General features: G+C 51.7%; 1 protein-coding gene across 2 annotated transcripts in view, besides 4 other annotated features; it reads left to right on the top strand.

Moving 5' to 3' along the window:
* Window positions 77-586: a silencer, noted in NCBI's record as "silent region_2542". NCBI's record gives its function as "represses an Ori minimal core promoter by ATAC-STARR-seq in GM12878 lymphoblastoid cells {active_cell/tissue: GM12878}" and the evidence as "EXISTENCE:reporter gene assay evidence [ECO:0000049][PMID:35858748]".
* Window positions 509-25,436, top strand: part of ZCCHC24 (zinc finger CCHC-type containing 24) — a 63,300-nt gene continuing 38,372 nt past the window's right edge. The window contains exons 1-2 of one of the 2 annotated variants that reach the window (NM_153367.4): window positions 509-938; window positions 13,375-13,575. In NM_153367.4, coding sequence (NP_699198.2) covers window positions 693-938; window positions 13,375-13,575 — 447 coding nt within the window. In that variant the 5' untranslated portion in view covers window positions 509-692. Of the gene's footprint in view, window positions 939-1,909; window positions 2,032-13,374; window positions 13,576-25,436 lie in introns of those variants that run through there. The other variant, XM_011539452.4, reaches the window with a different exon arrangement.
* Window positions 597-656: a silencer, noted in NCBI's record as "silent region_2541". NCBI's record gives its function as "represses an Ori minimal core promoter by ATAC-STARR-seq in GM12878 lymphoblastoid cells {active_cell/tissue: GM12878}" and the evidence as "EXISTENCE:reporter gene assay evidence [ECO:0000049][PMID:35858748]".
* Window positions 10,400-11,038: an enhancer, noted in NCBI's record as "H3K4me1 hESC enhancer chr10:81194851-81195489 (GRCh37/hg19 assembly coordinates)". NCBI's record gives its function as "activates a minimal SCP1, AML or CMV promoter by ChIP-STARR-seq in naive H9 embryonic stem cells {active_cell/tissue: H9 hESC(naive)}" and the evidence as "EXISTENCE:reporter gene assay evidence [ECO:0000049][PMID:30033119]".
* Window positions 21,153-21,654: an enhancer, noted in NCBI's record as "H3K4me1 hESC enhancer chr10:81184235-81184736 (GRCh37/hg19 assembly coordinates)". NCBI's record gives its function as "activates a minimal SCP1, AML or CMV promoter by ChIP-STARR-seq in primed H9 embryonic stem cells {active_cell/tissue: H9 hESC(primed)}" and the evidence as "EXISTENCE:reporter gene assay evidence [ECO:0000049][PMID:30033119]".

Raw genomic sequence — 25,436 nt, 5'->3', positions numbered from 1 at the left:
AAGAAGGAGTATGAGAAAGGAGGGAAAATAGGAAAGGAAAAGTGAGTGAAAAACAATTGCAGAGGATTTGGAAAGAACGAGACAAGAGCGCTGACGACAGAGGGAGACGAAATTGATTAGGCCGGGGCTGCACTGAGCTCCCGGCAGCTCGGGGAGCTGGGTTGGCCGGGCTGGGACGAGGTGGGGCTTGGGCGGGGCCTCGCATGGGCGGGCCCGCGCCGTGCTGCATATGCAGATGAGCCTCACTCCCCTCTCTCCCCACCCCTGACGGTTCATATTCAACGAGACAGCCAATGCAGGGCGAGGACAGTGCCAGGCGGGGCAGGGAGTGGGCGGCGGGGCATCGTGGACCCCACCCCCGGAGCCGCCGCTGGAGGGGTCAGCCGCGAGGCAGATAGCGGATCGCCGGGCGGGGCGGGACGCAGTGGGCGGGGCGGAGGGGCGGGGCCAAAAGTTTCCTGCCCAACTTTCGCTGCCTCCTTCCACCGCCTGCGCGCGCCGGGGCCGCAGTCGGGGGGAGGCGGCGGCAGCGGCAGCGGCTGCGGGCAGCGCGCGGGGCGCAGGGCGCGGGGCGATCACCGTCGGGGCTCGGGAGGCGGGCAGTGGGCACAGGCTCCCCGGTGCCCGCCCCTCCGCTGCGGAGGGGGGCCGCGAGCGGGCGGCCGGGGAGGGGCCGGCACCGCCGCCACAAAATGAGCCTGCTGTCGGCCATCGACACGAGCGCCGCCTCGGTGTACCAGCCCGCCCAGCTGCTCAACTGGGTCTACCTGTCGCTGCAGGACACGCACCAGGCTAGCGCCTTCGATGCCTTCCGGCCCGAGCCGACCGCCGGCGCCGCACCCCCGGAGCTGGCCTTCGGCAAGGGCCGCCCCGAGCAGCTGGGCTCGCCCCTGCACTCCAGCTATCTCAACAGCTTCTTCCAGCTGCAGCGCGGAGAGGTGGGTGCCCCCGCGCGCCCCCGCCCACCGCCCCACCGCCCCACCGCCCCACCGTGGCGGGCCGTTCCCTGTCTGACCCGCTCTTCCTGGCCTGGCGCGGCCCGGCTCCGCATTGCCGGGCCCGGCTTGGCTTGGCTTCGTTCAACTCTGCCAAACTCGCCGCCCGAAGTCCCCGGGGTGCCGGGTGCGCGTCACCTCCCGGCTGAGCCCGGGCTGGAGCAATGCAGGCCGGGGCGGAGCTCTCCCGCCCCCTCTCCCTGCCAGGGCAGCCCTGCTCCAAAGGGGTTGGGGGAGGGAGTTGAGGAGGGGTTGTCTCCGGATTTTCTTCAGACAGCTGGGGTGCGGCCTGGGCGGGGAGCCCCTTCGAAGTGTCCTTCTCACGCCCAACCTTATCCTCGTCCTGGCCACCGCGGGCTGGGACCGAGAGTGCAGATTCTGCTCGGAGCTCCTCTGGAAGGGCCTAAAATCTTTTCTCCGACCTCTGCGGTTCCCGACCCGAAAGGCACCCTGGAGAGCAGTGACTGCCCAGAGGGCTTCTCCTGCTGTTCTCACTCGGGGACCCCAGATACGTCCTCCAGCTGCTCGCCCTCCCCCAGCCACATAGGAAGTGGTTTCTGAGGGCTTGACCCCACAGACTGCGCTGTCCCCAGCCCTCCCAGCCTCGAAGGAAATGAAAGGGAAATCCTCTTGAGCTCTTGGGAGGGGGGCTAGAAAGGGGGGGGGAGAGGTTCCAGCTGCCCAGCGCCTTCTGCAGAAACCTGGGCCGGCTGTGTTGCAAAGTCTGCCTGTTTGGTGGATTCAGTTACAAAGTTGACTGGGCAGCGCCTCTTTGCCAGCAAGATAAATACACAGATCGCCACCACCTCCCAGCCCTTTTTGAAGAGTCTCCAGGGCCTGCCCAGATACCACTCCTTTCCGTGGGCTGGACTCCTCCCCTCCCTCCATTTACTCCTGCCTCATTTGGGAATTTCAGACACCCATCTGTGGCCTTCACTTCCTCCCCTTGTGGGGGTTTTCTCTGCAAAGATGCAAGAGGTGTGTTCGGGGGAGGACACACATGGGGGTCACTTTCCTTCCAGACCTGGGCACACCGGTGAGTTTTAGGAGAGTCAGAGTCCTGAATGGGTTGGGGAGGAAAGCCTATGTACGCAAGGGTGTGCTGGGGGTAAGAGAGGGAGGCAGAGGGTCGCCCTTGAGTTCAACTCTGCCATTATTTACTAGGGGAGGCATGGACATATAAAATGCTGGCCCAAGGCCAACACTACCCAGGCTGACCTGTTGACCTGGGTGGGTAGAACAGGCGTGGGAGGGGGCTGGGTGCAGAGGAGGAAGATGAGTCTGAAAGTGCACCCTTTGGTGTCAGGCAAAAGCATTTCTATGCCAAAGCTCTTTGTAAACTGTAAAGCATTCTCTCCACGTGAGGAATGGTTCTTGGCTGGGGATCTTTCTTTCTTGTAAGAGACTTTTCTGCCTCTTCAGGGAATTGGCTTCAGGTGACCAGTGACTGGAGGACCGTTTGTGGGGTGTTTCTTTGGTGCATGCGTCTTTTCAGTTGTTTGTTCTCTTACCAAACATTTGTTGAGCTCTGGGCAGGACCCGGGGATTCACAGCCACAGGCTAGTGGGGGCCACGGATGAGTAAACAGACAAGGTGATAGAGGGTATGAATGGTGGGTGATTTGATGGGGGTGCTTGTGGGAGCCCCACGGGAGTTTCTCACCCTGGGAGAAGGGTGAACATGACCCACAGGTCAAGTGTGGACCCCTAATCAACCTCTTCTAGCCTCCCTCTGCTCCCCCTACCATGGTGGCATTGTTCCCCACCTGTGGGTCTCCCCTGAGAGGACCTGGGAGTTTGGAACCATCAAGAGTACCCTATAAGAATAGGATGTTGTGCTGCTTTTTGAAAATTTCTGGCATCCAGGATCCCAACCGGAGCTCAGTGAGAACTGCCCTCTGTCACTTCATTGCTGCGTACCTCAGTTTCCCCATAAAGTCACACAGTGTGAAAGGAGCAGGAAAAGGTTATACTGTATAGTGCAGTGGTGGGGAAATGTCTTTCACAACCTGACTTCAGGGAACCCCGTCTCTCTCTGGGCCTTAGCTTACCTATCTGTTAAATTTAGTCTCTGCTACACCCCAGGATGGTATATCTATAGTATTTGAGACCTGTTCAAACAAGAGAGGGCTGGGGGAGTCAAGAGGGGCTTCTCTGATGTTCACAGGCCAGTGGCTTCCTCGGAGGTGATGGAGGGCTGTGCCTGCTGACTTCCGGAAGGCTCTCTTGGCTTCAGGCTCACTCATCCTCACCCCCCACCCACTTTGCCTCCTAAACCCTCTCAAAGCCTCAGCTGTGTTCCTGAGGACAGGCCTTTCCTGCGCCCAGGGCTTAGCTGGTGACCTAATATGGCTCCAAAATAGCAACTGGCTGAGAAGGCAAGAAAAAATACCCCCCACCCCAATGCCACCAAGGGGCTGGTCGGAGAGGAAGCAAGTCGTGTGTGGGCCGGAGGGGACTCTACGGAGGGACCCAGGGGGCCCAGGAGCATCACCATTCTGTGCGAGGCCTGGCAGGCCCAGTGGCAGTGCCTGCGGATGTGACTTGCATGCTGACCACTGACCACGGCCTGTCTGCGCCAACCCCTGTGCCAAGAGCCCACCCCCTCCTGCACCACCCCCAGGCTGCTCCCACCACAATAGCAAAACACCATGAATGCAGCTGGGATTTGAGGGGGGGTGAGGACATGGGGGCACAGAAGCCCATTGTGCCCCTGGAACCTCAGCTCTGGAAGCTGAAGATAAGCCAACGGTTCTGAGTGGCACACTGGCCCTGAGAGCAGAGAGAGAGATGGCAGAGTTCACACCAGAGTTCCTGGTGCAGGAGCAAGCACCAGGAGGTGACTTGGATTCTTGTGGGGACTTCCCAGCTTGTGGTGAGGGTGCCAGGCCAAAGCGGACACAAGCACCTTGCACAGTTTCTTAAAAGGCTTCTGGGTCTACAAACTAGGCCCCGTGAAACCCAGTTTCAAAAACCTGATCTACGGCAACAACGATACATTTTTGGAAAGGGATTCCTAAGGCCCTTGGCTGAGCCCCTTCTCTCTCTCCAGGTACCCAAGGAAGGCAGTTCTTAGATGGAGTAGGGGCTGGGCTGCATGGGGTCTTCCCTGCCAAGTCTTGTTTGGAACTTAAATTCACAACCGTAAAGGGGCTATGGGAGTCATTTCTGGAAAAGCTGAGTTACCTCCTTGTGAAGATGGCCTCTTGGGCCCCTTGAAGGGCTGCCCAGAGCCCCTGCCAGGTAGTCCCTGTACCCTCCAGCCTCCAGGGAGATGTGGCTGTCTCACTCCATTCAGGTAGAATTCTTAGGGCAGCTGTTCTCTTTCCCTCTTTCTCCAGGGACAGACGTAGCTGGAAGGTGTGGCCCTACTGTCAAGAGACCCCCACTTTGTGAATGTTGGGGGAGGGACTTTGTGGTCAAATACATTTGGAAGACACAGTGTCCTTCCTTTCCCTTGGAAACACACAGTGCCCACTAGCACAGGAAAGGCCCTGAGAACTCCTGCAGTGCAAAACCTGTTAACCTTTCTTCAGCTTGACAGTTCCCACACCTATTTGAGCAGAGAACATTTTTGGCTCAGGACACCTGTCAGTGTCCTTCCTGGAAAACCTCTTCATTGTTGGATAGTTCCAACCTTTAGGAAGCTCTTCCTAGAGCATCAGCCTCTGCAGCAATGAACCTCCTCTTTGCTGCTCAGGTCTACCCATTGGAGGTTTGAGAACAGTAGCAAGGGTGTCACAAGGCTTAACAAATGGCCTTTCCCTGGGCCCAGCCCTTCTGTATGGACATGGCCATTAAAACCCTTAGAGGAGTACATACAGTGTCCTCCTTTAAAAGGCCCCAGTCTTGACAGTTTTCCGAGGGTTTGGATGTGCCCTCAACAGACGGAGATAAGCCCACGGGCTGCCTGACCAGTGTGGATGTGTGGAACAAAGCCACATTTCTGCCCAAGAATATGAGGTGCCTATGTTCGAGAGTGGGCTTAAGGAGCTCAGGTGGGTTCCCAGCAGCCTTTGTGGTGTGTGTGTGTGTGTGTGTGTGTGTGTGTGTGTGTGTTTAGGGGGCAGCTCCAGGGCCTGAGAGTAATGGCCATTCTATCCCAGCCCAGAGTTCGGGAGGATGCTCCCAGCTCTCTTGGCCACCCTTGGGAAGCTGAAGTGTGACTCAGGCAAGGAGGACCGTCATTTGAGAAGCTGTTGGCTGAGGCAACCTGACCCTCCCTCTGTCAGATTACGTTGACTGGACAGGCATGGACTCAGAGGGAAGACCACACCTCGTGGACCTTCTGAGTCAGGTGGGAGGGAGGAAAGCAGACAGCATTAGTAATCAGTAAGTGGCAGCAGCAGGGAGCCAGATGCTGTCAGTACCCAGAGGAGGGCTCCGGGAGGAGATGGCCCTAGTGGAACAGTCCTCTGCTCTTGGGTGGTGCTCTATTCATGGCCTCTCTTTCCTCATAGCTTCCATTTTTTGCAGAAGAGGACACAGAGGCCTGGCAAGTCACCTAGCCAGTCAGTGGGAGAGCTAGATCTAGAATTCTTCTGTGTTCCAGCTACGGGTTGCATCTGCGACCCGTCCTGCAATTGGTCCCCAGATTTGCTCTCCCCTGGATCAGCCTCTGGGTCCCAGTGAGGGCAGGCAGCAATCCGTCTGGACGGGGCCATCCTATCAAGCCTCAGTGCCTCCGACATTTTGTCCCTGGTCCTCAAACTTTCTGGAATTGCTGAGTACTGGTCATGAGTACTGGGTTTCCTACCATGTCCCTGTTCCAGCCACTCCCCATCAACCCAGCATGGGGGCATGAGTCCAGGGCTGGCCTGCTTTAGGAGAAGGAGAGAAGATGGGCACTGAGCACTTTCTACTGCTTCTGCACCCATATCCTAGTCTGTGTGCAGCATCCGCATTGTCTGGATGGGGAAACTAAGGCTCTTCTAAAGAAAGACAATGCATTCAGGGAATCAGAGGCAGAACCAAGACTCCAGCCTAGGTCTCAGGTCCTAGATCTGTTGTGTGTGTGTGTGTGTGTGTCGTGGTGGTGGTGGTGGCATGTGATTCTTTATTCAGCCCTCCTCTGGCCATACTGGTCTACTTGGGGTTTTTGAAAACATCAAGCACTCCCCCTCCTCTAAGCCCCTGCACTTGCTATTGCTGCTACCTAAAATGCCATTCCCTGCCCTTGTACATGGACACATTCCAACTGGCTTCTTTATGACACAAATGGATGTCCTTTCTCTGAGGGGTTTTACTTGGCTGCCACTGGGAGCAGACCTCTTTCCAGCTGCTGTGAGCCTGTGAAAGATGAGTTGTAGGTGCTCTGGTAAAGCATGTCTTTTTTTTTTTTTTTTTGATGGAGTCTGGCTCTGTCACCTAGGTTGGAGTGCAGTGGCACAATCTCTGCTCACTGCAACCTCCACCTCCCCCCAGGTTCAAGAGATTCTCCTGCCTCAGCCTCCCCAATAGCTGGGATTACAGGCGCCTGCCACCACACCTGGCTAATTTTTTGTAAAGCATGTCTGAAGGATTGGTCTTGTTCTGTAATAGCAATATGTGTGTCTGTCTCAGTAGTTAGATTGTCAGCACCCTGAGAGTAGGAATCTTGTCTTTTCTACTTAGTAGTCCTGGCATCTGGTTCTTAGCGTGCAGGACATGCTAGCTGCTTAGTTAATGTTTTCTACGTGGGTGGGTGTCTTGAATTGTAACCTCCCCTCCTCCCTTCCACCTCCTGACTTGTGAGCATGTAAGTACTCTCCTGAGCCTCTTCACCTTTTGTTTTGTCTCACAGAAAAAAATATGTATCGATTTCTTGATTCATTGGAATGAGCTGACTTGGGAGATAGTGAAACCTTGTCCCCTACAAGTGTTTCAGCAGAGGCTTGGGTATGCTGATGAATGGTCCTTGACCTTCTTTGGTTAGGGACCTCTTTGAGAATCTGAAGACAACTAGAGTTTCTGCTGCCAGCACAAGGCACAGAACATAAGCATGCGTGCACATGCATATACACATGTTTGCATGTGATTTCAGTGGGATCACACACACCTTCATGCCCACAGTGGATCACAGATCAAGGATCCCTGCAATGGAGGCTGCAAGCCTCAGTGGTACTCCAGACAGAGTACAGTCTAGCTAAATATGCGGGTCCTTTCCAGTCCTGGGATTCTCATATTCTTGCTCTCTGCTTTCATTCAACAAATATGCTCTAGCAGTAAGAGGCAGCCCGGTCCCCAGTGCTTACACACTAGCTGGGCAGAGGGCTTATAGCTGTGAAACGTGAGCACCTGTCAGGTGAGTGGTGACCCTGGGCTGGAGCTGTTGGAACCAAGGAGGAAAGGGATCTCCCCAGGTCTCCTCTGCTTTGTCCTGCTGGCACTGTCTGCTCCCCCTTTCCTGGGTCCTTTCCCTATTTCTCTCTGCCCACTCCCCCACCAAAAATAACCTAGACTTGTGATTTAAATAAGAATCTTTTGCTAAGCACTGACTGTGTCCAGGGAACTGTGTTTTACATTTGCTGGGTGAATGGGCCTCCAGGAGGCAGTGGTGCCCTCTGGAGTCCTGGGTGAAGGGTTGCTGTGCCTGTCGTGGCCAGCCCAGCACTGTCCTGGCCCATGGGTCAGCTTTAGACCTGGGAAACAAACAGAGCCAGGGGCTGAGCACAGCTGAAAACCCTCAGTCAAGGTGTGGCCATGTTTTCCCATTGGCTCGCTTCCCGCCTTGCCCACGGGCTATCTCCTTGTCTCCCTGAGACCGGCTGGTGTCCACCTCTGTATATATCGGACATGTATGTGTTTGACCAGCCGCAGATAGATGCCTGGGGTGGAGGAAGTACAGATCCCCTTGGGAGCAGGGTGGATTCATTTGCGAGATGAATGATCTCTTGTCCCAAACAGAGGAGTGTGGGTGCGTGTGTGTGTGCGCGTGTCTGTGGGGTGGAGTAGGGGTGGCTTTGGGATAAGAAAGCGGTTGTTCAGCTGATGAAAGGAACCCCTACAGAGCTAGGGACTCGAATCAGAGTTCCTCCTCCGGGGCCTTCTCAGGCCTGGGGAGCAGGACTCAGCCCTTGCTTCTGCCGTGCCTGGTAGCCTGGCCCAGACGCTGCCTTTTCCATGGTCTCACTGTGGCCATGTCCTTCCCAGCACATGCTGCTCCCCATCCTGCCTGCTGTCACTGCCTCTCCTATCTGTCTCTTGTCCTGTTTCTGTGCCCTCTCTTCTCCCTCTGGGCTGCCCTCTGCAGCTTCTACCCTCCTGCCCTAACTCCTGCTACCCCTCACCTGCTGTGCCTACCTACTGTCCTGCAGGGAAGGAAGAAAAGAGAAGAAGTCCCTCTTGTCAGGCTTGCTCCGGGGAGAACTGGAGTCAGCCTTGGAAATCTCTGTCTCTGCACCCCGTATTCTGCAGCAGAACCACCATGCCCAGGGCCTGCACCCCTCATGCAGCGCAGAGACACTGGTCCTTCATCTTGCCAGGGCCGAGGGGCCTAGCATATGATGTCACAGGGCCTCTGTGCCAAGTAGAGTGGTCCGCACCTGGCATTTTCCTCTGACTCCCCTTCCTATAGGGGAGGTCAAGCCTTGGAGGCCATGTAGAGGCTGAAATATAACAGGGCAACACGTGCTGGCTGCGTTACCTTGGGCAAATCGCTCAGCCTCTCTGAGCCTCAGTTTCTAGCTCTATAAAATGGGGCCAATAATGCCCATTTGAATAGTATTCTTGCCAGGTAAGAGGGGACTAAGAAAGGTAAAAGATTTAGTCAAATATATGACACACCGCATGATCAGAGTAAACCACAGGCCGAGCACGGTGACTCATGCCTGTAATCCCAGCATTTTGGGAGGCTGAGGCAGGCAGATCCCTTGAGCCCAGGAGTTTGAGACCTGCCTGGGCAACATGGTGAAACCTCATCTCTACAAATAATAAATACAAAAAATCAGCCAGCCGTGGTGCCATGTACCTGTTGTCTTAGCTACTTGAGAGGCTGAGGTGGGAGAATCACCTGAGCCCAGGAAGTCTAGGCTGCAGTGAGCTGTGATTGTGCCACTGCACTCCAGCCTGGGTGACAGAGTAAGAACAGTAAGACCCTGTCTCAAAAAAAAAGTAAACTATAACGTCTTCCCACCTTCCTTTCCCCAACAGCCAAGCAAAAACCTTGGAGAAGTTCCAGCACTGGGCAGGAGTGTGATGCATGGTCCCCCAGATGCGGTGTGAGGGTCACATCCTTCCTGCTACCTGCTGGGGTCACTGACCTAGGGAGGAAAGAGAGGTGGCCTCTTCCCTAAGCCTGGTGATCTGGGCCTAGATGGCCCAGGGGCTTCCACTTACCCCATAAGTGGCTTTGCCCTGCACCAGTGCCCAGAGCAGCCTAATCTAAGGTGGGAGTGCCCCTCCACTCGGCCCATGGAAATGAGACCGCTAGGGCATCTGTTACCCTATCTGTCAATTGGGCAGGCCCTTCCCTGCTGGTGACCATCGCACCCAGGGCAGGCTGTGGGGCAATGGAGGGTTGCAGAACCTTTGTCTTCAGGGATGTCCAGCCTTGTGGGAGAGGTGAGGAGGCCTCACACACGGGGAGAGATTAGAGAGCGACTTCAGAGCTCCATTGGTCACTCAGGCGGGGCTGCGCCATGATCCCTGCGCCCCCTCCTGCCAACCGCAGTGCTGACTGGGCTACGCTGGGGTGGGAGAGGTCAGCAAGGCCTCTGGTGGGAGTCGGGGCCTCTATGGCCGGGGGTGCTTCAGGAGCACCTGGATCTGTGCTTTTCATGCTTTTCCTTGGAGCCTGAGGCCTGAGTAAGGGGAAAGGATGAGGTCAAGGCCACAACCCTGGAGTTAGAGCCCGATCTGGAGCCAGGCCCTGGAGGGGTTCTGGATGGACATAGAGAAGGGCATTCCCAGGCTGAGGCAGCAAGTGTGGGCTGGAGGGAGAAAGGCAGAGCTGCGCGGTGGGCATGGTGAGAGGAGCAGGGTTAGGGCTGACAGATGAAGGCTTTTAGGGCCACCTTGCACTCCAGCCACAGAAGGAAGGCCACAGAACAGATGGTGCCTGTGTCGGCCTCTGCATGCCAGGCTCCAGGGGCGTCTCTCAGGACCCGGGTGTCTGGACCCTAGGAAAGCAGGACCACAGGGATCAGCAAGGTCACCCTTCTTCCCCCTTCCCCGCTCCATTTTACACTGTACAGATGGGAAACCCAAGAGGCCAAGCCCCAGCTCCGAGCAGGAGGGGGATAGAGCTCTGGGTCCTGGCCTCTGTTCCATCCAGTCCCCACAGGCTGTGGAAACAACCAGGAGACTGATTTGCCTTTCACCTCCCTGGCCTGAGCTCAAACGGGGCCTCAGAGAGGAAGCAGCTCACTGCCTCACCCACCCTTCACACTGGCCAGCCAAGCAGGATTTCTGGCCCTGGGGCCTGGCTGGGTACCCTGGTCTGCGTCCCTGTGCCCCTGTGGGCCTCAGTTTCCCCATCTTTCATGTGGGAATGAGGTAGGGTCAGCTGACGGTCTCTACCCTTTCGGCTCTAAGGTAGCGTTCGTCTGGAATTAGGGCTGGGGGATGGGCCCTAATTCCCTGGAGACAGGCTGGAGGGCACTAGAGGTGGGAAGGCCATGAGGAGGGGAAGCTCTGGCCTCACTTCTCTCACTGTGGAGCTGCCTGGGGCAGGGGCAAGGCTGCGGCCCTCCAGAGGGTGGGGTGTCGAGCTGCCAAGGAGAGGGCACCCGCTTAGAGGCCTCTGGCTGCCCAGGGATGCCTGTGGGGCCGTCCGTGGGCAGGGGACTGTGGCCGCAAGATGGGGGAGAGGTTTTTCAGGGTGTAATTAGTGCACTTTCTGGCACCCACCAAACTTCCCCTTCCTCTTGACAATTTGCTGCCAAACAGCCTGATTCCTGTGGACTTGCTTAAATCTTATCCAGGGGAAAAAAAATAAAAATAAAAAAAAAAGAAAGAAAGAAAGGAAGAAAAAGAAAAAAATATTAAGAGGGTTGTTATTTGTGAAATTGTGTTTCCCAGCCATGAGGGTGAGTCACACCATTTGGGGCTTCAAGTTTCTTGTTTGGATGAACTTTTCTCTGGGAGGCTGGGGCGGATTTGGAGGGGGAGGGGGCCTTCTGGTGTGGGGAAAGTCTTCGAGTCAAGATAAGGGGAGACCCTGGTGGTTGGGAAGTCCAGGTGCTCCAAGGCTGGGTGGGGCTGGGCTGGTTGTACCTGAATTGCCTGGGGGAGCTTGAAAAATACAGATTGGGCTGCAGTAGGCGGGGGCGTTGTTGTTTCACGGGCATGGAGTTTCAGTTTGAGAAGATGAAAAAGTTCTGGAGCTGGACGGTGGCGATGGCTGCACAACAGCATGAATGCTCTTAATGCCACTCAACTGTACACTTAAAAATCATTGAAATGGTCAATTTTGTTGTGTATATTTTGCCGCACACCTAAAAATACAGATTTCGGGCCCTCGATTCCAGGTGGCTGCTTTGGTAGGTCTGAGGTGGGGCCCAGAAAACTGTTTGTTATAAGCTTCCCAGGTCATTCAATACAGGTTGGGGCACACTCATGTAATCTGTAAAATGGGATAGTGACTCATAGAGTTGTGGGCAGAATCAGCTATCTGAATACGTGTAAAATTTCCAGTGCTGGGGTCACAGTAAGAGCTTGGTCTGTGTCACTGTTATCCTGTGATGTGGTTTTTATCAGAACTCTCCCCCATGCCGTGGAAGGTTGACCCCCATTGGCTCCCACAGCTCCAGGGACGGGGGACCCTCTGCTTCTCAAGGTGGACTGCTCCATCTTGGATTCATCTGAGAGCTGGAGTGCCCATCAGGCTGAACGCAGGTCAATGTGGAATCTTCCACTGGTCCTGGATTTGGTGGTCGGGCCAGGCAGTGATACAGAAGTTACAGTCAGTTGGACCCATTGAAATCCTTCCCAGTCACTATAGGTGACTGTGTGCTGGGCTGGCCTGCCCCCGATGTGGTGTCTGTGTCTTTCCTTCCGCATCCCAGGCTCTGATCCAGATGCACACGAGACGGAACAGAGTCCCAGAAGGAAAGGGCTGTGGTCACACAGCCGTGTGTCCTGAGGCACCAAGAACATCAGTGGCACCCAGATGATGAGGACCATGTCTCTAGGAGGGGAGTGGCAGATGCCTGCAGATGGATACAGTTGGGTGGCTGGGACACATACTTGTGCAAAGTAGGATCTGCTTCAGTTGGGGGAGGCAAGACTGTGCCCTGTGCCCTGGGGCCAGCTTGCAGCTCGCCTCCCTCCCCTGCCTATGCTAAGGGAACACAGAAAGGACTGTCCCCAACCTGGGCTTCTGTCTGCCCCATCTTTGTAAGGGAGCCTGAGGCCCTTCCTTTCAGAGGCCCTGTTTCCCCTTCAGCCTGGAACTCCCCAAAACAAATCCTTGTCTCCCCATCAGACACAAGGCCCCCCAAGGTCCGCAGCTTATTCCTGCAGTTCTTGGGCACCTGTGCTGGGGCCAGGAGATACTTAAGCCCCAAGCCCAGATTTGTTGTTGACCCTCCTGGGGAGGCCGCCTCTTTCAGCCTTGGCCTTGCTCCAGGAAAGGGGGACCCCTGGCTGCTCCCTGCCAGCCCCACCTTCGCTAAATTCCAGTATGCAAGGCAGCCCGGAGCCCGTGACTCCTATAAATAGAGGCTGTATATACCAGGAGGGGGCCTGGGCCACGTCTGCTTTGAAGCTAAGCAAGATGTCTGGTTCCTGTCATCTGGAGGTGAGAGAGATGGACCACTTCCCTCCTTGGGCTTCCAGAGAGGTGGTTTAGGGCCAGGCTGAGGGCTCCCCACACACAGACTACACAAGCCTCGGGCTGCAGGAAACCTGGCAAAGGGCTGGGCTTCAGTCTTGTCTAGTGTGAAGCGGGAGCAATGCCGCAAGCTGACATTCCCTTTCCTTACAAGGTGGGGAAACTGAGTCAGCAGTGACTTTCCTAAAGTCACCCCACCAGTTAGTGGCAGAGCCCCAAATCTGACAGGTTGCTTTCTACTATATGTTCTTACCTCATGGCAGTATGTTAAGAACTAATGGTAATAATAATAATAGCCATCATCAACATCATTGCCATTTACTGAGTGGTTCTGAAGTGCCAGGCATGAGATAAACTACTTTCCATTCATGACCTCATTTTAGCCTCATAGAAACCCTAGGAGGAGCTGTTACTAGGACCATTTTGCAGATAGGGCCACTGAGGCCCAGAGTAGTTAACTGGCTTGTCCATGGAGACACACTAGTTAGGATTTGAACTCAGGCTTCTGGAGCCCAGAGCCCTCGGGTAGCTGAAGACTCAGTGTGAATCCATGCGTGTGTTTGGGTGGGGGGTTATGGAACTTCTCCCAAGGCAGAGGCTGTAGTATATGTGCCTCTGTCTCCCACAGGCGCTGAGCAACAGTGTGTACAAGGGCGCCTCACCCTATGGCTCCCTCAACAACATCGCCGATGGCCTCAGCTCCCTCACCGAGCACTTCTCAGACCTGACCCTCACCTCCGAGGCTCGCAAGCCCAGCAAGCGGCCCCCACCCAACTACCTGTGCCACCTGTGCTTCAACAAAGGACACTACATCAAGGACTGCCCCCAGGTAAGGCAGCCCTGGCCCAGGGGGTGCTCTTGGGCTCCCCTACTGACCTGCGGACAGGCTCCTGTGGGTAGGGCAGGCGAAGCAGTGTCCCCAGGGCCCCTTCCACCAATGAGTGGCCCCGTGGTCCTCTGGCCTCTACCCTTTTGTCCCTGCTGGGATTTCTGAGGCAAGGCTGGCTGGTGTGGTCAGGACAGAGGCCCATCTTGGGCCCACGCTGGTTGGTCAGCAATCTGGGTGGGGGATTTTTGGACCCGAACTGGGCCCCCAAAGGAGGTTCTGTGCCTTTGGGTCTCCACCAGTCTTTTTTGCTAGGTGGGGCCTGTTCTGAGGGGGCAGTCTCCTCACAGCTCCCTGGAGGCCCCATCTCATCACATTCACGGGGAAGGAATGCAGGCTCTGGGCCAGGAATCCAGATGTGCACCCCCTCCCCTGAACCCCACCTCTGCCTCCTCAGCCTGTGAGGGAAGAGGGGAGGGGCCCTGCCCCACACTCTGTGCTCCCAGGATAGGGCTGGGGGAAGGCTTCAGGCACTGCAGGGCGGAGCATCTCTTTCTTGGAGTGAGAAGGGAGGGTCGGGCAGATCGAGGCCCCCACCTGATCCAATGCTTCAGTATGACAGAGTGGGCCTACCATGCCAGCCCACCTACAGGATGGTCCCTGACCCACTGATAGACATGGTTTTGGGATCCTGGGAAAAGAGGGTAGTAGTCATTTTAAGTACAGCATGAGATTATCAGTGATTTTTTTTCCTATTAGTTTTTCCTATTTTCCAACTTTTTTTATAATGTGGCATTACTTTTATTTTACGTTTGTAATGGAAATGGAATCCTGGAAACTCTGGAAATGCATGTAGTGTTCCCCTCCAGATGTTGGAAACTGACGTGTGGTTGGGTGGGGCTGGGTCCCTTCAGGACCAGTGGGAGGCCAAAATGTGCTGTCATTCATTACATTCCCAAACCCTGCTCAGAAACGGCCACACCATGCTTCAGGTTCTTGCCGCTTAGAGTACGGCCCTGGCAGAGATGCATCAGTGCCTCCAGGGAGCTATTACAATTGCAGGCTCTCAGAGCAGCATCTTAGCAAGGTCCCCAGGTGATCTGTGTGCCCCCATCCCAGACTCTGCATACATAGTGGGAGCTGACCCACTGACGACTTTCCTGCAGACCCCACATCTCCAGTGGGTCCTGTCCTCCCCCTCAATATACACAGTAAGCAGGAGGCTATTGGCTCCCAGCAGAGAGTGAGTACCCTCAGCCCCCCTGGGGTTCTCTGGATAGAATGAGGGGCAAACAGGCAACTGAGGATCTAGTTGGTCCTTAAGGGCATGCTCATGGCCTGTGCAGTCCATAGCCTGTTGCACTTTGTCCAGCTGAGCCCCAGCACAGGGGCCCCCAGCTCATGTGCACACAGCCATCCACAGCAGCCCTCCCTCATCCCCTGCCTACAGCCTGGGAAGTGGGCAGAGCCAGACTGAGCTCCGTTAAGGAGACAGGCACTGTGCTGAGTGCTCTCCAAGCAGTATTTCATTTAATGAAACTACTCTATGTGTTAAGTGCTCTATTTGCCTCATTTTCCATGGGGAAACAGATGCTTCGAGGGAGGAAGGGACTCACACAGGATTATTGAGCTATCAATGGAAGAGCTGGGATTTTAATCCAGGCAGGCAGGTGACACTCAGACATCAACAGGGGCTCTGGAGCCCCGAGGAGGTATGCTTACTCTGGGCTGGTAGCCTGGGAATGCTACCAGGAGAAGGGCTTTGGAGAAGGGTGGCAGGGCCTCCCCCAGGGTGACCAATATCCAAAGGCAATGGATGTGAGCCAGAGGCCCGGGGATAGCAGAGGGTGTGTGTGTGTGTGTGTGTGTGTGTGGTGTGTGTGTGTGAGTGTATGTGCACATGCATGCACCATCCTCTCTCCTGACAGGGCCAGCGCTCTTCTAAATGCTGGGGCAGAAGGTCCCTGGCACCTTCCAGCACAGTGCTAACGTGGGATCTTCCTTCATAGAGATCATCATCTCATATTGGACTCTTAACTCTACGGCAGAAGGAGGAGCAGAGGCCTCATTTTACAGTCTTGGGGAGGTGGAGAGGGCAGAATGTATACGAGATCCCCAGTCTCAGGATTTCTGTATTCTTTGCCTCCTTAAGCTCCTTGTCACTCCAAGCTAAGACCTGCATGGTCTGTGGGGCCTCAGTTTCTCACTCAAGCTGATTGAGGCCTTCTCCTGGCTCCATTCCAAACTTGATTCTGTCCTGGACTCGTGAAGGCCCAAGCACCTTCTTCCTCCCTTCATGAGTGGTGGGAGGACAGACAGAGGCTCGCAGCATCAGTTTCGTCGCCTGTCCCATGAGGCTAAGGAGAGCACTGACACCCAGGGTATTGTGAGGACATAGTGAAACTATGCATGGAAGGTGCTTAGCACAGTGCCTGGACACAGGAAGTGCTTAGTAAATGTTGGCTAGCATTTTTTTCTCCTTTGGGTCACTATGAAGAGTGCACCCATCTGGCAAGGCACTAGGTATTTGGGCAGGCTAGAACCTGATTGGATGCTGTCTACCCCTCACCTGGCCATAGCTCCAGGGGCAGGTGCTGGGCTGGATTCATCTCTGTGCTCCTCACCATCTGACCACGCCAGCTCAAGGGACCTCACACGCAGCGGTGCTCAGTGCAAGGCTCCCTGAAGGGAGGAACGGGTTGACAGGGCTTTTATAAACCACAGAAAGAAACCTGTGTCACAAATGAAATAGTGTGTTAGAACCTAATTTCTATAATATTTAAAAGTAGAAGGATTTTCTTGGGAACAGCTTTATGAGATACAATTCACTTCCCATATAATTCCCATTTGAAGTGTACAATTCAGTGATTTTCGTATATGCCTGGAGTTGTGCAGCTGTCACCTCAATCAGAGAACATTGTCATCACCTTGAAAAGGAATTTCATACTCCTTAGGTATCACCTCTTTTTTTTATTTTTTTGAGACAGAGTCTAGCTCTGTTGCCCAGGCTGGAGTGCAGTGGCATCATCTTGGCTCACTGCAACCTCCACCTCCTGTGCTCAAGTGATTCTCATGCCTCAGCCTCCCGAGTAGCTGGGAATCCAGGTGCTGCCATCATGCCCGGCTAATTTTTCTGTTTTTAATACAGATGGGGTTTCACCATGTTGGCCAGGCTGGTCTCAAACTCCTGGTCTAAGTGATCCACCTGCCTCAGCCTCCCAAAGTGCTGGGATTACAGGCATGAGCCACCTCTCCTGGCCCAGATGTCACCTCTTGATCATCCATCCCCTCGCATCCATAACCACTCATCTATTTCTCTCTCTGTAGATCTGTCTATTCTGGACATTTCATATAACTAGAATCATGTAACATGTGGTCTTTTATGACTGGCTTCTTTCACTTAGCATAATATTTTCATGGTTCATCCATGTTATAGTGTGTTAGGAAGTGTTCCTTCCTGTTATATTTTCTGGAAGAGTTTGTAAAGTATCAGCAGTAATTATTTTCCAGATGTTTGATAGAATTCACCTGCGATGCCGTCTGCGCCCGGGCTTTCTTTTGTGGGTAGATTTTTGATGACTGCTCTGAACTCTTTACTCATTATAGAGTATTCTGATTTTTTTTTATTTCTTTTTGACTCAGTTACTACAGTTTGCATCTTCCTAGGCATTTTTCCATTTTATCTAATTTGTCTAATTTGTTGGCATACAGTTATCCATAGTATTCTTTTATAATCCTTTTTATTTCTGTAAGGTCGTTAATAATGTTACTTCTTTCATTTCTGATTCTTGCAATTTGAGTCCTCTCTTTCTTCTTGTTTAATCTACCTAAAGTTTTGTCAATTATTTTGGACTTTTCAAAGAACAAACTTTTGGTTTAGCTGATTTTCTCTATTTTTTTCTATTATTTATCTCATTAATTTCCACTTGCATCTTTACTTTTAAATTATATTTAAAATACATATGGCATAAAATTTACCATCTTAACCATTTTTAGCTTACGGTTCGTGGCATTAAATACATTCACATCGTTGTATGACCATCACCACCTTCCAGCCACAGAGCTCTTTTTATCTTGCAAAACTGAAATTTATCTTGCAAAACTGAAATTTATCTTGCAAAACTGAAATTTATCTTGCAAAACTGAAATTTATCTTGCAAAACTGAAATACTGTACCCATTGCATAATAATTCTCCCTCCCTGCCCCCCAGCAACCACCATTTTACCTTCTGTCTCTGAATTTGACTACTCTAAATACCTCATATAAGTGGAATCACATGGCGTTTGTCTTTTGGTGATTGGCTCAGTTCACTTAGCATAATTTCCTCAAGTTTCATCCACACTGTAGCATGTATCCATTTCATTCCTTTTTAAGGCTGAGTAATATTCCATTGTATGTATATACCACATTTTTAAATCAGTTCACCCATCAATGGACAACTGGATTGCTTCCACCTTTTGGTTATTGTGAATACTGCTGCTGTGATCGAGGGTTTATAAGTATCTTTGCTCGCTTTCAATTCTCCACTTCAATATTTATTATTTCCTTCCATCAGCTTGCTTTAGATTTAGTTTGCTCTTCTTTTTCTAGTTTCTTCAGGTGGAAGGTTAAGATACTGATTTTATATCCTTCTTTTCTTTTCCTTCCTTCCTTCTATCCTTTCATCCTTCCTCTTTTTATGGAGACAGGATTCCACTCTGTCACCGAGGCTGGAGTGCGGTGCTGTGATCATAACTCATTGCAGACTCAAACTCCTGGGCTCAAGCAATCCTCCCATCTCAGCCTCCAAAAGTGCTGGGATTACAGGCATGATCCATTGTGTCTGGCCCCTTCTTTTCTCAATGTAGATAATTACAGCTATGAATTTTCCTCTGAGCCCCATCCCATAAGTTTTGGTATATTGTATCTTATTTTCATTTATCACAGGGCATTTTTTTTTTTTATTTCCCTTGTGATTTCCTCTTTGACTCACTGGTTATTTAGGAGTGTGTTGTTTAATATCCACATATTTGCGTGTTTCCCACACATCTTTTAGTGATTTCTAACCTTATTCCATTGTGGTCATAGAAGATATTTTATATTATATTAACCCTTCTAAATTTATTGTGGTTTGTTTCAGAACCTAACATTATGAGTTATTCTGGAGAATGTTTTGTGTGCACTTGAGAGAAATGTATTCTGCTGTTGTTTGGTGGAGTGTTTTATAGATGTCTGTTAGGTCTAGTTGGTTCATAGTGATGTCTATGTCTCCTCCTGCTTTGTTGATATTCTGCCCAGTTCTTTTATTATTATTTTAAGTGGGGATATTTAAGCCTCCAGAAATTATTGTTTGTCTATTTCTTTCTTCAATTCTGTCAGTTTTTGCTTCATTCATTTGAGTGTTCTATTATTAGGTACACCTATGTTTATAGTTGTTGTATCTTCTTGATGGATTAATCATTTTATCCTTATAAAATGTCCTTCTTTTTCTCTAGTAACTGTTTTTTTTTTGTTTTAAAGTATATTTTGTCTGATATTAGTATACCTAGCTTTCTAATAGTTGCAGATTACATGACAGATATTTTCCTATCTTTTATTTCCAACCTATTCATATATTTGAATTTAAAGTGCATCTCCTGTAGATAGCATATAGTTGATCTTGTTTTTTGTTGTCTAATCTGAAAATCCTTGCCTTTTGATTGGATTGTTTAATCCATTCACATTTAATGCTCTTTTTGACGTAGATTTAGGTCTGCCATTTTACTGCCATTTGCTTTCTAAATTACTCATGTCTTTTTTATTTCTCTATTCCTTCTAAAGAATAACACAATAAATTGCTTTCTTTTGCATTGATTTTCTAACTAACATTTTAATTTCTTTAATGATTTTTTTTCACTATGTTTTGTGAGTTATTTTTTTAGGGTTGCTCTAGGGCTTATCTTATACATTGTGTCTTACCAGAATGCCTCAGATTTATAACTTGATTCCAGTGAGATAGAGAAATGTTACTCCTATGTAGCTCTATTCGCTCCTTGTTTTGGCTTTCAGCAGTTTTACTATACTGTGTCTGTTTGTGGATCTCTTTATGTTTATCCTGCTTAAAGTCTGTTGAAGTGCTTGGACGTATTGTTTAAATTTTTTCATCAGATTTGGAAAGTTTTCAGCCATGATTTCTTCAAATATTCTTTCTGCTCCTTTATCTCCTCTCCTTCTGTGAGATGATTTTTAAATGATCTAAATGCTTTAAAAACCTTTAATGGTCTAACTGGGAGTAAAATGTGCAGAACACTAGGCCCACCCTGCCTAGGTCCTGAAGCTGCCCATGGAGCCCCCGGGGTCTGAGGAGGGCAACAGTGAAAGCAAGCTTAAAGCATTCACTGCCACGGGAGCCAGGGGTTGGTCACTTATTACTTGGTCCTTTCTCACCTTAAGAGTAGGATAGAGGTGTCCAGAGCTCAGCTCATCAGACTGATGGGGCCTCTCACATATCCCCAGGGCAGTGGAAGGGGGATTGGACACTGGCAGGAAGACTGGGAAACCCCAAAACAGAGGGAGAAGGTGCTAGAAGCCAATTCTGAATGTCAACAAAGGGCAGTCCATCCTTGTGGGGTGAGGCTGTGCCTAGGCCATGGTCTAGTCATGGTCTAGCCATGGTCCGGCCAATGTCAGCACTGAACCAAGAAGGATTAGGACTCAAGAGTGTCTATCATTTGCTTCTTGAAAAAACAGCTGCTATTGTCCTCATGTAGTGCACCAGCCATCCGGCCCCAAGGTAATAATAATATCATACACTATACAATAGCAATAGCTTCTAAGCACTGAGTTTACCACTGGGTTTAGCATATTCTATGTATTAGCTCATTTAATGCTGTCAAAAATTGTCTCGGTAGGTACTATAGTGATCTTCAATTGCCAGATGATAAAACTGAGACCCAGAGAAGTGGAGTGACTTGCCCAAGGCCACACAGCTAGTGAATATCAAAGCTGGAATTGGAACTCAGGTGCTCCTGATTCCAGAGCGCATGCTTTTTCAATATCATCCTGCATCACCCTTGGCATCCAGACTTTGATCTCCACTATCATTCTCAGAAAGTCAGGGTTCTTTAAAAAGATAGATGACTGGAAGTAGAGAGGGTCAAGGACAATGTGGGCAGAGGCCATCCCAAGCCTGGTCTGGCCAAGTTGGTGTGCCTGGTAGTTTCACCACCCAGCCTCAGGGTGTCTGCTGCCCCAGTTTAGTCAGGCAGGTCAGGAGTGGGTTGGGATTGCCAGCTCTGGTGGCAACAGAAAACCCAGTGACTGCAGGGCGGCATGGTTGATATCTGCTGGGCCTGCCTGCAGGGTCGCCTGGTATCTCGTTTTGGCCTCTGCACGCTGATGGGTCAGGACTCTGAAGGCCTGAGCAGCAATGTGTTGCTGTGAGCCAGCTGCACTTGCCTGTAGGGGTCTGTGGTGGGGGCCTGGCGCAGTGCCACATCTGTGCCCAGGACACACAGTCTGTCCAGGACAGAGCAGGACTCCAGACATGTTCCCATCACCCAACCATTCCTGAGAGTTTCTTGTGCACCAGGCCTGTGCTGGATAAGGCCCTTCCCCTGTCCTCGGTGGTACAGATAGAAAGAGTATTGGCCACTCTGGGGGACCAGGGCTGTGGTGAGGTTTACTGTGCAGGCCCAGCTCAGCCTGGAGCTTCGTGGGAGGCCTCAGAGAGGAGGAGCTTGGATTTGGAGTGGGGAAGGCTTCCAAGCAAGCGTGTAAATAACAGGAATATGCTTTCCGGGCACTGTGAGCCCTGGGCCACAGCAGGCGCTCCTGGGGGAGGAGTGGGGGTGTGGCTGGAACAGGTGATGAAGGGCTTGTGTGACAGGCTGTGCAAACTTGGACTTTATCTGGAGGCCAGGGAGAAGGGTTTTAGGTGACATGCTCAGATTGGCATTTTGAAAGATCCTGCTAGTGGCAGGTTGGAGGCTGGGCTGAAGGAGGCAAGAACGCTAAGGAAGCCAGCCCCTGAACATGGATAGGGACTGATGACTGGACACAAGACAGCGGTGAGCAGAAGCTGAAGGGGAGGGAATGGATTCTGGAATGGAAAAGTACCATCTATGGGCCGTGGTGCCCAGTGAGAGGGAAGAGGGAGCAGGCAGCAAGGAGGGCTACCAGATCTTTACGGTGGCTGCCTGGGCAAATCAGCTGCCAACTGGGATACAAATACACGTGCATAAACAGGTAGGCTCGCCTTCCACTCTGCAGTTATTTATTGAACATCTACTGTGTGTCAGACACATAGCAAGCATTAGAGGACACCACAATGAGCAAAACAGGAAAGGCTCCCTCTGTCTAGGAGCTTGTGTTGCAGTTGGTGAAGTCAGGCAGTAAGTACAAATCAGTGGGAACTAGGGAACTATCAGATCAGATGAAGAACACAGAAGAGTGCTTTCATAGTGTGCACTGGGCTGCCTTCTCCTGGAGTAGCAGGAGTTAGTAGTTAGTAGCATGCATGCTTAGGCCCATGATACTTTTAGGGTCCACAGATATGTTTCTTTTCTTTTTTTTTTTTTTTTTTCAGACGGAGTCTCGCTCTGTTGCCCAGGCTGGAGTGCAGTGGCGCGATCTCAGCTCACTGCAACCTCCACTTTTTGGGTTCAAGCGATTCTCCTGCCTCAGCCTCCAGAGTAGCTGGGATTACAGGTGCCTGCCACCACGCCTGACTGATTTTTGTATTTTTAGTAGAGACGGAGTTTTACCATGTTGGCCAGGCTGGTTTCAAACTCTTGACCTCAAGTGATCCGCCTGCCTTGGCCTCCCAAAATGCTGGAATTATAGGCGGGAGCAACTGCACCCGGCCACAGATATGTTTCTATTTGCCTATTTGTATTTATTTTATAACCAGATGAGAAAATGGGTATAATAGTGAATATATAATTATGAACTCAGCCTGGAGATTTGTGTTTACACCAATGCAGTCAGAAAATATATATATATATATATATATATATATAGTATATATATTTTGTTTGTTTTTGTTTTTTTGAGATGGAGTCTCACTCTGTCACCCAGGCTGGAGTCCAGTGGCGCCATTTCAGCTCACTGCAAGCTCTACCTCCCAGGTTCAAGCTATTCTCCTCCCTCAGCCTCCCGAGTAGCTGGGATTACAGGCGCCCGCCACTACGCCTGGCTAATTTTTGAATTTTTAGTAGAGACAGAGTTTCACCATGTTGGCTAGGCTGGTCTCAAACTCCTGACCTCAAGAGATCTGCCTGCCTCGGACTCCCAAAGTGCTGGGATTACAGGCATGAGCCTCCATGCCCAGCCAGAAAATAAAATTTTTAATAAGGTTTTATGCAAAAAGGGCCCACAAAGGCAAAAGTGCCTAGGGTCCACAGAAGTCATAATGAAGCCCTGAAGGGTGTCTGGGGCAGCTTTCGATTGGGTGGCCACTGTGGGTCTCTCCTATGATAGGACATGAAAACTTCACGTACTACCACTCCACTAAAGCTCAGGCAGGGGGAGGGTCCACATGCCCACAGTAAGGATCCTGATGTTGACGTGGGTGATATCTTGTTGAGGTCAAAGGATACAGCCTTGAATTTTTAACCCAAAGGCAACTTTTCCTAAGCTGTCTCTTTGCCCTTCACGGCTGTCAGGCCCAGCCATGCCCAGCCTGACAGCCACCCTTCAGGCACTGACCTGGGAGCAGAAGCTCTCTAGAACCCGTTTCCATCACTTCTGAGACATTGTTAGTGGTACTCATTACTCCTTTGAGGGAGGTCTGAGGGGTGTTGTCACCTGTGCCTCTTGTGTCCAGCTAAGAACAGGGCGCCGCGAGAGGTCTGGGAGGGCCTGAGCCCAGGGGAACTGCCATTCCTGAGTCAGCATGCCCAGGGCTGCTAATGAAATCCAGATGTTAGACAGAAAACAATCATCGCCCCCACCCATCTGGCAGCTCGGGTTTCTTGGAGATTGCAAAAGAAGAAAAATAGAGCCGAGAGAGAATGGAATCCTAGAACAGCTGAGATCTTAGAGGCAGGATGTAAATAGTCTCAGGGTCTTGCTGGGGAAAGGGCAGGAGACAAGGGAAAGAGGGGGCTGGCCCAGTCCTCCTTCTTCCTCACCCAGGTCTCTGCAGCCCTCGGACCCCAGCCCCTGCACCCCTCCCCAGGCCAGAGCAGGCTGGTCCTTGAAGGGAGTAGGCTGTTGGAGGCAGCAGGCAGGGCCGAGGCCCCCAGCCCATGTCTGACCCTTGCCTACAGTTTCCAACCCCTCATTCCAACCCTGACCTCACTGCAGGTCTGGGTGTCCTCTGGGACCAGAGTGGCTAGAGCCCAGGGAGGGGACAGGCCAAAAAGGACTGAGGCTAGGCAGAATTGTGGGCTGACTAGAAGCTTCTCCTCAGAACCCCAGAGCTGAGTGGCATAGGGATAGAGGATGAGGGGTATGGTGGGCCAGCTGGGGGACCTAGCCTCTTCTTCCCACCAGGGTAGCCTCACACATATCCACCTCACATGTTAGGGAGCATGCGAAGGGAAGGCTCTCAGGCTTATAAAGTTTAACACCATTGATTAGTTCAGACCCATCAACATACTGGTGGGGAAACTGAGGTTTTCTCACAACACTGGGGCTAAGGACTGCCTGTCATAAAAAAATGTATAGAAGGCTGGGTGCGGTGGCTCATGCCTGTAATCCCAGCACTTTGGGAGGACGAGGTGAGCAGATCGCCTGAGGTCAGGAGTTTGAGACCAGCCCGGCCAACATGATGAAACCTCATCTCTGCTAAAAATACAAAAAAATTAGCCAGGTGTGGTGGCGCACACCTATAATCCCAGTTACTTGGGAGGCTGAGGCAGGAGAATTGCTTGAACTCAGGATGTGGAGGTTGCAGTGAGCCGAGATCGCACCACTGCACTCCAGCCTGGGCAACAAGAGCGAAACTCCATTTCTAAAATAAATGAATAAATAAATATAAAAAATGCATACAGGGAGGGGCAGAAAGGTAACACCACAGACAAAAAGCCCTTTGAATGTTAGACAGTGGAATTAGCAAAGAAAGTGTTATACTGCCACCCATTACTCATTAGCAAACATCCAGAAGGAAGGAAGAAAGGAAGAAAGGAAAGAAGGGAGGGAGGGAGGAAGGGAGGGAGGGGGAAGGGAGAGGGAGAAGAGGGAGGACAGACAGCATCATTCTGTGTTCCCACTGAGGAAGGACTGGGCCTAGGGCAGATGGCATAGCAGGGGATGGGTGCTGAAGGTAGCATTGCAGGGGGTTCTCCTGGAGCCTGGGCTGGCTGGCCAAGGGGCCTCAGCTGAGGTTCTTCCAGCACTTGGCACAGAACCTGGAATGTCGTGAGCACTCAGAGAATGTCAGCTGGGATGGGTGTTGCTGGGGGTGTCGTGCCTGCCGTTTGGCAGGTGGTGGCTTGGCATAGATGCTGACGTTAGGGTAGTGCCCCAAACCCAGTGTCCGGGCCTCGAGGCTCTCCTCCTTGCCCTGCCGAAGCCCTCTCCTTTCAGTGAGGTGCCTTCGAGCACAGCCCTGAAGCCAGCCTGCCTGCGTTCCACCCCTGGCGCCGCCTTGTAGCAGCAGTGCTATGTGCCTTTGGGAAAAATTCATTCAGTCTTTCTAGGCCTCAGTTTCCTCCTCTGTAAAATGAAGATATTAAAACATCCTACTTCATGGGATGTTGTGAGCTTAACCGAGTTATTTTATCTGAAGTGTTTATAACAGTGCCTGGCACCTTGCTTGCACTGCAAGTAGTAACTCTTAGGACTGTTAATTACTGTCATTATTATTATTATTATTATTATTTTGAGATAGAAACTTGCTCTGTTGCCCAGGCTGCAGTGCAGTGGCATGATCTCAGCTCACTGCAGCCTCCGCTTCCCG

This window comes from Homo sapiens, chromosome 10 (genome assembly GCF_000001405.40).
Source record: "Homo sapiens chromosome 10, GRCh38.p14 Primary Assembly".
NCBI classification, from domain to species: domain Eukaryota; kingdom Metazoa; phylum Chordata; class Mammalia; order Primates; family Hominidae; genus Homo; species Homo sapiens.
Note: the sequence above shows the minus strand (reverse complement) of the source record. Positions and strands in the feature narration are given on the sequence as shown.